The sequence below is a fragment of the Homo sapiens genome, chromosome 10 (genome assembly GCF_000001405.40).
Source record: "Homo sapiens chromosome 10, GRCh38.p14 Primary Assembly".
NCBI classification, from domain to species: Eukaryota; Metazoa; Chordata; class Mammalia; order Primates; family Hominidae; genus Homo; species Homo sapiens.
The window spans coordinates 100,090,368-100,104,106 of NC_000010.11; positions in this window are offsets into that span (position 1 = coordinate 100,090,368).

Below are 13,739 nucleotides of genomic sequence, written 5' to 3' on the forward strand. Positions count from 1 at the left end.
ACTGCTACCCCCACACTTTGTCATCCAGACATAACCATCGTTATCAACCGGTGAACGTCAGTCTTACAGAGGTTACTCTTAAAATTTGCTTCTTCTCTCCTCTGCTTTCCCAAATTGGCAAATATTACCAGAATTGATTCAATTGCTTGGGCCAAAACCTGGGACTCATCCACAATCTTTCTCTTTATCTCACTCCCTGCATCAGCCACTTATACTGACTCTGCTTGGAAATACATTGGAATCTTACCTTGACTACTGTCATTATGGTCCAGGTTATCATCTATTTCTTGCTTAGATTAGCCTTCTGAATATTCTCTCCACTTCCATTTTTGCCTCATCAGTTGTATTCTCTACACAGTAGCCAGAGTGTTTTAAAAAACATAATCCCCTTTCCCATCAAAATTATTTCAGTGACTTCCCACCATATTTAGAATTAAAAATTCTTGGCCAGGTGCAGTGGCTCACACCTGTAATCCCAGTACTTTGGGAAGCTGAGGTGGGAGGATTGCTTGAGCCCAGCAGTTTAAGACCAGCCTGGGCAACCTAGTGTGATCTCACCTCTACAAAACATAAAAAAGTTAGCCAGGTGTGGTGGTGTGCATGTATAGTCCCAGCTATTCAGGAGGCTGAGGTGGGAGGATTGTTTGAGCCCAGGAGGTCGAGGCTGCAGTGAGCTATGATTGCACCACTGCACTCCAGCCTGGACAACAGAGCAAGATTCTGTCTCTAAGATAATAATAATAAAGTAAAAATAAAAATAAGTTAGGCAGGTCTGGTGGCTTGCACCTGTAGTACCAGCTCCTTAGGAGGTTGAGGTAGGAGGCTCCCTTCAGCCCAGGAGTTTGAGGCTGCAGTGAGCTGAGATCATGCCACTGCATTCCAGCATGGGTGATAAAATGAGACCCTGTCTCAAAAAATAAAATAGAATAAAAAATTCTTGCAGTTACATAAAGGTCCAGTAAACAACAGTCACAATGTCCTTCTTTCTACTCTTGAACGTATCAAGCTTATTTCTGCCCAAGGCCTTTACATTTTCTCCTTTCCCTGCCAGGAATGCTCTTCTAAAGTTTTTCACAGCTTTCCTCTTCCCACACTTTAAGTCCACGCTCAAATACATCTTGCAGTAGCTGGCTCTGACCCCTCCACCTAAACTCGGTCCCAGCTGCTACCCCTTATCATTCTCTACCCCTTGACTCAATTCTTCTTCGTAATACTTACCATTACCTGAAAGCATTCTCTGCAATTATTCGCTTCTTTTTAACTTTTTGTCTGTATCCCCCACTAAAATGTAAGTTGCATGAAGGCAAGGATTACTGTCTGTTTTTCCCACTGCTCTGCCCCGATGGTTAGAACAATGCCTGGCCCATAGTAGATGCTCAATAAACATTTGTTGAATAAATAAATTTGCAGATAGAAGGGTAGAGAAATACTTTTTACAAAAATGAGATCATAGTGTTTATGCCTTTAAAAATAAAAATGGTATTGAATATTTAACAAGAAAAATAAGTTGAAACAAAGCTGAAAGAGTTGCTTATCTTTAGAAAAATGGCTTCATACTGGGTCCAGGTGCAGCAGCTCACATCTTTAATCCCTAGAACTTTGGGAGGCCGAGGTAGCAGGATCACTCGAGGCCAAGAGTTTGAGACCAGACTGGGCAACAAAACAAGACCCTATCTCCAAAAAAAGATTTACAAAAAAAAAAAAAGAAAGTCTCCACACGGTGAAATAATAGTTGCCAATTAGCCTCTCCCTCTCCCTCTCCCTCTCCCTCTCCCTCTCCCTCTCCCTCTCCCTCTCCCTCTCCCTCTCCGTCTCCCTCCGTCTCTGTCTCCGTCTCCGTCTCCCTCTCCCCACGGTCTCCCTCTCATGCGGAGCCGAAGCTGGACTGTACTGCTGCCATCTCGGCTCACTGCAACCTCCCTGCCTGATTCTCCTGCCTCAGCCTGCCGAGTGCCTGCGATTGCAGGCACGCGCCGCCACGCCTGACTGGTTTTGGTGGAGACGGGGTTTCGCTGTGTTGGCCGGGCCGGTCTCCAGCCCCTAACCGCCAGTGATCCGCCAACCTCGGCCTCCCGAGGTGCCGGGATTGCAGACGGAGTCTCGTTCACTCAGTGCTCAATGGTGCCCAGGCTGGAGTGCAGTGGCGTGATCTCGGCTCACTACAACCTCCACCTCCCAGCCGCCTGCCTTGGCCTCCCAAAGTGCCGAGATTGCAGCCTCTGCCCGGCCGCCACCCCGTCTGGGAAGTGAGGAGTGTCTCTGCCTGGCCGCCCATCGTCTGGGATGTGAGGAGCCCCTCTGCCCGGCCGCCCAGTCTGGGAAGTGAGGAGCGTCTCCGCCCGGCCGCCATCCCATCTAGGAAGTGAGGAGCGCCTCTTCCCAGCCGCCATCACATCTAGGAAGTGAGGAGCGTCTCTGCCCGGCCGCCCATCGTCTGAGATGTGGGGAGCGCCTCTGCCCCACCGCCCCATCTGGGATGTGAGGAGCGCCTCTGCCCGGCCGAGACCCCGTCTGGGAGGTGAGGAGCGTCTCTGCCCGGCCGCCCCGTCTGAGAAGTGAGGAGACCCTCTGCCTGGCAACCACCCCGTCTGAGAAGTGAGGAGCCCCTCCGCCCGGCAGCTGCCCCGTCTGAGAAGTGAGGAGCCTCTCCGCCCAGCAGCCACCCCATCTGGGAAGTGAGGAGCATCTCCGCCCGGCAGCCACCCCGTCCGGGAGGGAGGTGAGGGGGGGTCAGCCCCCCGCCCGGCCAGCCGCCCCATCCGGGAGGGAGGTGGGGGGTCAGCCCCCTGCCCGGCCAGCCGTGCCATCCGGGAGGGAGGTGGGGGGGTCAGCCCCCCGCCCGGCCAGCCGCCCGGTCCGGGAGGTGAGGGGCGCCTCTGCCCGGCCGCCCCTACTGGGAAGTGAGGAGCCCCTCTGCCCGGCCAGCCGCCCCGTCCGGGAGGGAGGTGGGGGGGTCAGCCCTCCGCCCGGCCAGCCGCCCCGTCTGGGAGGTGAGGGGCGCCTCTGCCCGGCCGCCCCTACTGGGAAGTGAGGAGCCCCTCTGCCCGGCCAGCCGCCCCGTCCGGGAGGGAGGTGGGGGGGTCGGCCCCCCGCCCGGCCAGCCGCCCCGTCCGGGAGGGAGGTTGGGGTGTCGGCCCCCCGCCCGGCCAGCCGCCCCGTCCGGGAGGGAGGTGGGGGGGGTCAGCCCCCCTGCCCGGCCAGCCGCCCCGCCCCCCTGCCCGGCCAGCCGCCCCGTCCGGGAGGTGAGGGGCGCCTCTGCCCGGCCGCCCCTACTGGGAAGTGAGGAGCCCCTCTGCCCGGCCAGCCGCCCCGTCCGCGAGGGAGGTGGGGGGGTCAGCCCCCCGCCCGGCCAGCCGCCCCGTCCGGGAGGGAGGTGGGGGGGGGTCAGCCCCCCTGCCCGGCCAGCCGCCCCGTCCGGGAGGTGAGGGGCGCCTCTGCCCGGCCGCCCCTACTGGGAAGTGAGGAGCCCCTCTGCCTGGCCAGCCGCCCCGTCCGGGAGGGAGGTGGGGGGTCAGCCCCCCGACCGGCCAGCCGCCCCGTCCAGGAGGGAGGTGGGGGGGTCAGCCCCCCGCCCGGCCAGCCGCCCCGCCCAGGAGGTGAGGGGCGCCTCTGCCCGGCCGCCCCTACTGGGAAGTGAGGAGCCCCTCTGCCCGGCCACCACCCCGTCTGGGAGGTGTGCCCAACAGCTCATTGAGAACGGGCCAGGATGACAATGGCGGCTTTGTGGAATAGAAAGGCGGGAAAGGTGGGGAAAAGATTGAGAAATCGGATGGTTGCCGTGTCTGTGTAGAAAGAAGTAGACATGGGAGACTTTTCATTTTGTTCTGCACTAAGAAAAATTCCTCTGCCTTGGGATCCTGTTGATCTGTGACCTTACCCCCAACCCTGTGCTCTCTGAAACATGTGCTGTATCCACTCAGGGTTAAATGGATTAAGGGCGGTGCAAGATGTGCTTTGTTAAACAGATGCTTGAAGGCAGCATGCTCGTTAAGAGTCATCACCAATCCCTAATCTCAAGTAATCAGGGACACAAACACTGCGGAAGGCCGCAGGGTCCTCTGCCTAGGAAAACCAGAGACCTTTGTTCACTTGTTTATCTGCTGACCTTCCCTCCACTATTGTCCCATGACCCTGCCAAATCCCCCTCTGTGAGAAACACCCAAGAATTATCAATAAAAAAATAAATTAAAAAAAAAAAAAATAGTTGCCAATTAATGACTCTAAAGAAAAAAAGGCGGCCGGGCGTGGTGGCTCACACCTGTAATCCTAGCACTTTGGGAGGCCCAGGCGGGCAGATCAATTGAGGTCAGGAGTTCGAAACCAGCTTGGCTATCATGGTGAAACCCCGTCTCTACTAAAAATACAAAAAATTAGCTGGGCATGGTGGTGCGCGCCTGTAATCCCAGCTACTTGGGAGGCTGAGGTAGGAGAATCACTTGAACCCGGGAGCTGGAGGTTGCAGTGAGCCAAGACCGTGCCACTGCACTCCAGCCTGGGCGAGAGAGCAAGACTCCATCTCAAAAAAAAAAAAAAAAAAAGAAAAGAAAAGAAAAGAAAAAGCATAGAAATCATTAAAGGATGGTGGGTGTCATGCTTTTATGTTTTCTCAGGCAGACATTTCGTCTTTAGATGGTGTCTATTCAATCCATGCTGTAATAGATTTTTTGTTCATTCATTCATTCATTCATTCATTCATAAAACAAAAATATACCGAATAGTTTACATCAATCTCTGATGTATGTGCCAGATAATAAAACAGGCAAGATCCCTGCTCTCATAGGGTGTATGTGTGTGTGTGTGTGTGACAGGGGCAGGAAGAAACCCAGTAAACACACACACACACACAATCCAGTAAATACATAATGAATAAGATCTTTTCATATTGTATTTATGAAGAAAATAAAACAGTGTGTGGCTAGGGAAAGCTGGGTGGCTGGTTCAGGTTACAGGTCAGAGAGGGCCTAACTGAGCAAGTGATATTTGACTTGAGACCTGAATGATCAAAGCATTCTGGGGACAGAGCCGTCCAGGCAGAAGGAAGAGAGAGCACACGCGCTCAGAGCAGGGCAGGCCTGGCTCAGGACTGGAGGGCTGGCCAGTATGGGAGCTCAGAGACCAGGGAGGCCGTGTGTGAGAGGAAGACGAAGAGGTGAGTGCATAACTCATTCTCTTGACAAGGATTCAGATTTTTCTTTTTTTTTTCTTTTTTTTTTTTGAGACGGAGTCTGGCTCTGTCTCCCAGGCTGGAGTGCAGTGGCGCGATCTCAGCTCACTGCAAGCTCCGCCTCCCAGGTTCACACCATTCTCCTGCCTCAGCCTCCCGAGTAGCTGGGACGACAGGAGCCTGCCACCACGCCTGGCTAATTTTTTGTATTTTTTAGTAGAGACGGGGTTTCACCGTGTTAGCCAGGATGGTCTTGATAAGGAGTTCAGATTTTAACCCAAGAGTAATGGGAAGCCATTGGATGGCTTTAAATGGGGCAATGGCGTGAAATAGGCTCTCTCTTCTCCTAAAACCTCCTTTGCAATCTAATGTCTCCAGATTATGTTAGTCACATCATTTGTACATTTCCAGCATTATAACATTTCTGTGTCCATAAATCTCACTGTTGTTTAGCTTTTATTTTTTGAAATGACAGATTATCATCATTTTTTTTAACTGGGCTTTCTTTTTTCTTCTTTTTTCCCTTCCTTTCTTCCTTCCTTCCCTTCTGTGTTTTCTTTCAGAGGAGAAGCTAATTTTATTGTTTCCCATCATTAAATATGAAACAGAAAATCTATAGAGAAGGAAAAAGAGCTCCATAGAATATAATTCAAATATGAAAAAAATCCTCATCTTGTGAGACCTTTGCATTTGTCTGGCCTTCAGAGTAAGTTTTTTTCACTGATCAAGCCTGCCATAAAAATTAAGGTTGCCAGTGTCTTTGTCTGTTCTGCTGGTCTTTTTCTTTTTTTTTTTAATAGAGACAGGGTCTCGCTATGTTGCCCAGGCTGGTCTCAAACTCCTGGGATCAAGCAATCCCCCTGCCTTGGCCTCCCAGAGTGCTAAGAGTACAAATGTGAGCCACTGCGCCAGGCCTATTGGTTTTCACAGAACCTTTGAGGTCCTTGAGAAAAGCCATTGAAATCAGTATGTCAAAGAGTCATCTGCACTCCCATGTTCATTGTGGCATTATTCACAATAGCCAAGATATGGAATCAATCCAAGTGTCTATCAATAGATAAAAGAAAGAAAATGTGGTGTATATACACAAAGGAATACTATATAGCCTTAAAAGAGAAGAAAATCCTGTCATTTGTGACAACATGGATGAACCTGGAGGACACGTTGTTAAGTGAAATAAGCCAAGCACAGAAACATAAATACTGCATGATCTCACTTATATATAAAATCTAAAAAATTTGAACTCATAGAAGTAGAGAATAGAATGGTGGTTACCAGGGCTAAGGGTGGGGGAAGGGGAAAAGGGTGATGGCCAAGTGGCACAAAGTTTCAGTTAGAAAGGAGAAATAGATTTTAGCCATCTATTGCACAGAATGATGACTATAGTTAATGTTTTGTGTATTTCAAAATTGCTTAGTCTATTTTAAACGTCCTCACCACACAAAAATGATAAGTGAGTGAAGTGATGGATATGTTCATTAGTTTGTTATAATCATTCTGCAATGTATGCCGTGCTGGGCTCTTTGTCATGATTTTGTTTTTCCTCTTTTATTTTTCTTCCTGAGCTCATCCAACTAAGCCTGGCCTCCTTTTGATGTCTCACCATCTCCTCTCTCATCTCTTACTCCTCTTTTAAAATGTTTCCCCAAGTTGATCATAATATCTGTAGCTTCGGAGTTAGTAGGATTCTTTGTCTGAACTCTTCTTCTGTTGTCTGGAATAATTTCTCTTGTGATGTATCTTCTTTTCTCCTAAGCATCTCCACGTGTCTCCCTTTCTGGTTATCCCTCATCTTTGAACAGGGGAGTTTCTGTCTGGATCATGATGTGTTGAAAAATAGGGTAGAGGCCAGGCGCGGTGGCTCACACCTGTAATTCCAGCACTTTGGGAGGCTGAAGTGAGTGGATCACAAGGTCAGGAGATTGAAACCATCCTGGTCAACATGGTGAAACCCCATCTCTACTAAAAAAAAATTAGCTGGGCGTGGTGGTGTGTGCCTGTAGTCCCCACTACTCAGGAGACTGAGGCAGGAGTATCGCTTGAACCCGGGAGGTGGAGGTTGCAGTGAGCCGAGATTGCGCCACTGCACTCCAGGCTGGGTGACAGAGCAAGACTCCGTCTCAAAAAAATAAAAAGGAAGAAAAAGAAAAATAGGGTAGAGCGGAGTGAGGAATGTGAGCAGGAGTCATCCCCAATGCCATTTCGGGTTGTTTTCTCAAACACCTGTCACCATGCTTCTTGGGCTCTATGCTATTATGTCTTTTCTCAGATACTAGAGTTCAGGACATTGGTGTGGCTCAAAACAACCTGCTTTACTCAGGTGCTCTGTGTTGTAATCTGATGATTCTAGTCCCTCCTCCTTCATCCCCCCTCACTAAGACAGACAGTTTGGGAAGATATAAAATGGTGTTGTCAGTCTGGCTCTTCCTTTAGCCACCTCCCTCTTGGTTCTGCCTTCTTGAGTGTCTTTCCCTATTGTCTCTAATTCTCCAGGGGTGTTCCCTATCCCCCAACAACCTATATCAGTTAAGATTAGAATTCAGCTTTAAGTGAGAGAAAGCCCCATATAATTGTAGCTTTATTTCTTTAGTCACACGTAAATGAAGTTTGGAAGCAGGCAGTTCAAGGCCATTGCTGTGCAGTCTCCTTTTAGCTTGTTGCTCTGCCAGGCTCAACATATATTCACCAACTATCCAAGATGGTTCCAGCCTTGTCAGCATGTTCACATTTCAGCCACCAGCAAGGAGCTCACCTTCTCTCCTTTTATTTTTGAGACAAGGTCTTGCCCTGTCACCCAGGCTGAAGCACAAAGGTACAATCATAGCTCACTGCATCCTTTAACTCCTAGGCTTAAGTGATCCTCCTGCCTCAGCCTCCCAAGTAGCCAGAGATACAGGTGCATACCAACATTACAGGTGCACCTGCCAATTTTATAAAACTTTTTGTAGAGACGGAGGTCTCACTACGTTGCCCAGGCTGGCCTAAAATACCTGGGCTCAAGTGATTCTCCCACCTCAGCTTCCCAAAGTGCCGTTCCTTCCAATGGGTGTGTGAGGATGGGAATTTTGATTTTAAAAAGAAAAGGAGCCAGGATCTTTAAAATCAAAATTCCCATCCTCACACACCTGTTGGAAGGAACATAAAATGGTGCAACCAGTTTGGAAAACGGTTCTGGCAATTTCTCAAAATGTTAAACATAGAACCATATCACACAGAAATTTTACTCCTAGGTATACACTCAAGAGAAATGGAAACATATGTCCACACAGGACTCGTACAAATGTTCATAGCACCATTATTCAAAATGCAGAATATAATTTAACAACCAAAAGATATAAAATAATATACATGTGACAACATGGATGAATCTCAAACACATTATGCTAAGTGAAAGAAGCCATACATAAAAGACCACTTAGTACATGATTCTATTTATAGAAAATGTTCAGCATAGGCAAATCTATAGAGACAGAAAGTAGGCTCATGGTTGCCCAGGACTGGGACATTGGGGGATTTGGGAGATGGTGGATAAGGGGTGCCAAGTTTCTTTTGGGGATAATAAAAATTATCTTAAAATGTAGTGATAGTTGCTTAACTCTGAATATACTAAAAGCCATTGAATTGTACACTTTAAATGGTGGAATTGTGTGGTGTGTGAACTATATCTCAATAAAGCTATTAAAAAACGGCACACTTTCCATAATTTCACATGCCACTTTCACTTACATTCCATAGGCTAGAACTTATGGCCATGCCTATGTACAAGGGAAGCAGATAAATACAGTCTTTATCCCATCTAAAAACCATAGGTTCCATTACAATAGAGATAATGATATTGCAGAACAGTGGCCATGTCTGCCCCACCCTTAGTCAGACCTTAGACCTTGTCAGTCCACCCACAGAGGATCCTTGATGCGTTTCTCGGGAGCACGGCACTTCATCTTAGGGAAATTGATCTCTTTCCCAGAGTCTCTACAAGGATGTGTTGGCTCTGAATCCTCACATATTTTGGATCAAAATTCATTTCATTCAGCAGTCATCCTCCGTGGTTTTGTTTTATAACTTTTCTCCTGTTTATTGAAAGTAGAAGTTTCTTTTTTATTTTTTTGCTCTTGGCTTTCAGTTGGTTTCAAGAGTTGGAAGTGAATTCAAAATTCCCCTTTCCCACTATCTTTGCCTCGAATTTGCCAGAATAAATATTCTTGTGTTTTCTTTTTTCTTTTCTTTCTTTTTTTTTGGAACAAATTCTCACTCTGTCACCCAGACCGGAATGCAGTGGCACAGTCACAGCTCACTGCAGCCTCTACCTTCCAGGCTCAATCAATCCACCTGTCTCAGCCTCCCAAGTAGCTGGGGCTATAGGTGCACAACACTATGCCTGGCCAGTTTTTAAACTTTTTGTAGAGATGGAGCCCCACTATGTTGCCCAGGCTGGTCTCCAACTACAAGGCTTAAGCAATCTACCTACCTTGGCCTTCCGAAGTGCTGAGATTACAGGTGTGACCCATTGTTCCTAGCCCATGTTTTCTTCTAAACACAGCTTTGTAACCCTTCTGGGATTTCCCATACTTTCTGCACCTAATTTTTTGTGTTGTTTTGTTTTGGTTTTTTTGAGACAGAGTCTTGCTCTGTTGCTCAGGTTGAAGTGCAATGGCACAATCTGGGCTCACTGCAACCTCCGCCTCCCAGGTTCAAGTGATTCTCGTGCCTCAGCCTCCGGATTAGCTGGGACTACAGGCGTGTGCCATCATACCTGGCTAATTTTGTACTTTCAGTAGAGACAGGGATTTCACCATGTTGGCTAGGCTGGTCTCAAACTCCTGGCCTCAAGTGACCCATCCCCCTTGGCCTCCCAAAGTGCTGGGATTACAGACATGAGCCACCGCGCTTGGCATCCAGTGCTGGATTTTCAGTGTTCTCTGCAAACATCTTGCTCCTCCTCTCCAAATAAATTCCCCTTAGAACTCACCACCCCCACATCCCCACCACACACTGCTTCAGTCATGTCTCACATTTCAATAAAAGTTCTGTATAAACTGTAGAGTGCTATGTATATGTTCATTGTATTTATTAAATTCTTATTGGCTTGGCTAGAATAATTTCCCCATTTGCCAATTTTGTAGGGACCACAAATGCAACCCATTTGAATCTGAATGCAGTGTCTCTTCACCCATAGTTGCTCCTCTTGGGAAATGGCACCACCTGTTGCCCAAGTCAAAAACACAGGAGCCATTCTAAATTCTTCCTTCTCACTCACTTCCCATGATTACTCATTCACTAAGCCCTCTCCGTTTTCTGTGTTGATCCTCATAGCTGACCCTTGCTTTCCCCATCTCCTGCCACGGCCTCGGTTCTGCTCTCACTCATCCTTGCCTAGATCTTGGTAACTGCCTCCCATCATCTATCTTCCTGCCAGGATTTGACCCCCTTCCACTGCACACATCATGCAGTCGCCACCATGATCTTTCTTCAATGCAAACCACCTCTTGTCTATTGCTCACCCCTTCCTTCCACTGTTTAGATCCTTTATCGCTTCTCCTTTCTGCTCAGTTAAGCCCACACTTCCTCACATGGCAAAGACCTGCCAGGCCCTGATGTTTCCTGCCTTCCCAGCATTACATGCCCTGCTCCTCTCCAGCACCCCTCCCGCCTCCTAGTTATACCTAACAAATTGCAGTCTTCAAAAGCCTCTGAGTTTTTGAACATCTCCTCTCCCTCCAATTAGAAGTTAGCTGACTCCTATTTGTGTTTTAGAATAAATCCAGGCATCATTTTCTCTAAACCTTTCCCATCATTTGCCCTGTGTCTGATTTTAGTGTCCTTCCCTTGTATTTCCATAGAACTCGGCACATATTTCTCTACAAACATTACATTGTGCCATAATTTTTGGCTTGTGACTTCCTTGATTAAAATATAAGGTCCTTAAGGGCAGGGACCACATCTTATTTGTTTCTGGATTCCCAGTCCCTACTCTGTAGCTGGCATATAACAGGTATTCATGTTGAAAAGCAGTAACAAAGAATAAACAGTCTCCTCTGCATTTATATTTTGTTGACTTTTTAGAACAGGGCAGGAAATGACTACATGGAGTTCCAGAAACCTCGGCTCTTCCATGTGCCCCCACTAACTCTCCTTCCAACAGGGCAGTCGTTGGTTCAGTGACATATTGACTCAGACTGCCCTCTAGCCAATGGCAGCCACGCATGCATGGACTCTGAATCTATTCTGTGTACCAGTGTTGCCTAATTTGCAAATAGCCTGTACCTGTGTAATCCTCTTTGTCGGGAGTGAAGTGGTTCTCCCTGCTTTTGAAAAAAGCTAATGTGATGTATGTTTACTGATATGACATCAATGAGGATAACAGGGTATCAAGCAGGAGGTTAACTGGAAAAGAGGAGCCTGGCTCTAAATGATCTGGTCACTTGGGATGGAGGGATTGCCACATATCAGACTTTGAGTAGCTCTATTAACAGGGTTAGTAATGGCTATGGGCCAACATGTAGCGGGGCAACTATATTTCATTGATTCTAAGGCACTCCTTCTTTCACATTTTTATGTCTCTGAAACTGGAGTGTGTCTTAAAACAGATGACATCTTAAATTCAGAGAAAAATAGAAGTCCAACATGTCAATAGTATGCCAGAAAAATATAACAAATTTTAATTGACTGAATAGTGACTAAGCCTGGAATTTCACAAACTGAACTAAACAGAATGGCTTATAAAGAATTATAAATAATGTCTAAAAACTTGAATTTGCATATGAGCCCCTCCTAATTTCCGGGGAAAATACTGTACATATATTATCATTAATCTCCAACCTCCTAGCCTTGGAAGATAGGTGTTATTAGTAATAATCTTTACTGAGATATAATTCACATGCTATAAAATTCACCCATTTAAAGGTACAGTTCAGTGGTTTTTAGAATATAGAGAATTGTGCAATCATTATTGCAGTCTAATTTTAGAATATTTTTATCATTTCCCAGGAAAATTCTGTATCCATTTGCAGTCACTTTCTAGCCCTAGGCACCCATTAATTCATTGTCTCTAAGGAATTGCTTATTCTGGATATTTTATGTACATGGAATTGCACAAATGCAGCTCACTGCAACCTCAACCTCCTGAGCTCAAATGATCCTCCTGCCTCAGCCTCCCAAAGTGCTGGGATTACCAGCATGAGCCACCATGCCAGGCTAGAATCATGCTTTCAAGGTTTATCTGTGTTGTAGGTTCATGCATCAGTACTACATTCCTTTTCTTGGCGAATGATATTCCACTATATCAATGTACCACATTTTATCCATTCTTCAGTTAATGGACATTTGGGTTTTTTCCATTTTTTGGTTATTATAAATAATGCCACTATGAACAATCTGTGCAAGTTTTTGTATGAACTTTGACTGCTGAGACCAGCTCAGTAGGGGAGACCCTAACCCAGCAGCGCTAGAGGAATTAAAGACACACACAGAAATATAGAGGTGTAAAGTGGGAAATCAGAGGTTTCACAGCCTTCAGAGCTGAGAGCCCTGAACAGAGATTTACCCACGTATTTATTAACAGCAAGCCAGTCATTAGCATTGTTTCTATAGATATTTGATTAACTAAAAGTATCCCTTATGGGAAATGAAGGGATGGGCTGAAATAAAGGGATGGGTTTGGCTAGTTATCTGCAGCAGGAGCATGTCCTTAAGGCACAGATCCCTCATGCTATTGTTTGTGGTTTAAGAAAGACTTTAAGGAGTTTTCCACCTTGGGCGGGCCAGGTGTTCCTTGCCCTCATTCTGGTAAAACCACAAACTTCCAGCGTGGGCATTATGGCCATCATAAACCTGTCACAGTGCTGCAGAGATTTTGTTTATGGCCAGTTTTGGGGCCAGTTTATGGCCAGATTTTGGTGGGCCTATTCCCAACATTTGACCTCCCAGCTTCAAGGGATAATCCCACCTCAGCCTCCTACATAGCTGGGACTACAAGGTGAATGCCACCATGCCTGGCTAAATTTTTTCTGTATTTTTAGTAGAGACGGGGTTTTGCCATGTTGCCCAGGCTGGTCTCCAACTCCTGGGCTCAAGAAATCTGCCCACCTTGCCGTTCCAAAGTCCTGAGATTACAGGTATGAACGACCATGCCCCGCCTGGACATATATTTTCATTTCTCCAGGGAAGTGAATAAAATTGCTGGTTCATATAGTAACTCTATGCTTAACATTTTGAAGAACTGCCAAAAGCAGTTGCACCATATCACATTCCTACCAGACATGTACGAGGATTCCAATTTCTCCACATTCTTGTCAACGCTTGTTATTATCTTTTTTATTTTAACCATCCTAGTGGGTATGAACTGGTACTTCATCATGATTTTGTGTTTTCTTAATGACTAATGATTTAGAGAGTCTTTTCATATATTTATTGGTCACTTGTATATCTACTTTGGGGAAATGTCTATTCAAATCCTTTGCCCATTTTAAAATTGGGTTATTAATCTTTTTATTGTTGAGTTATGAGTTCTTTATACATTCTGGATACAAGTTTCTTATCAGATATATGATTTGCAAATATTTCCCCCCATCCTATG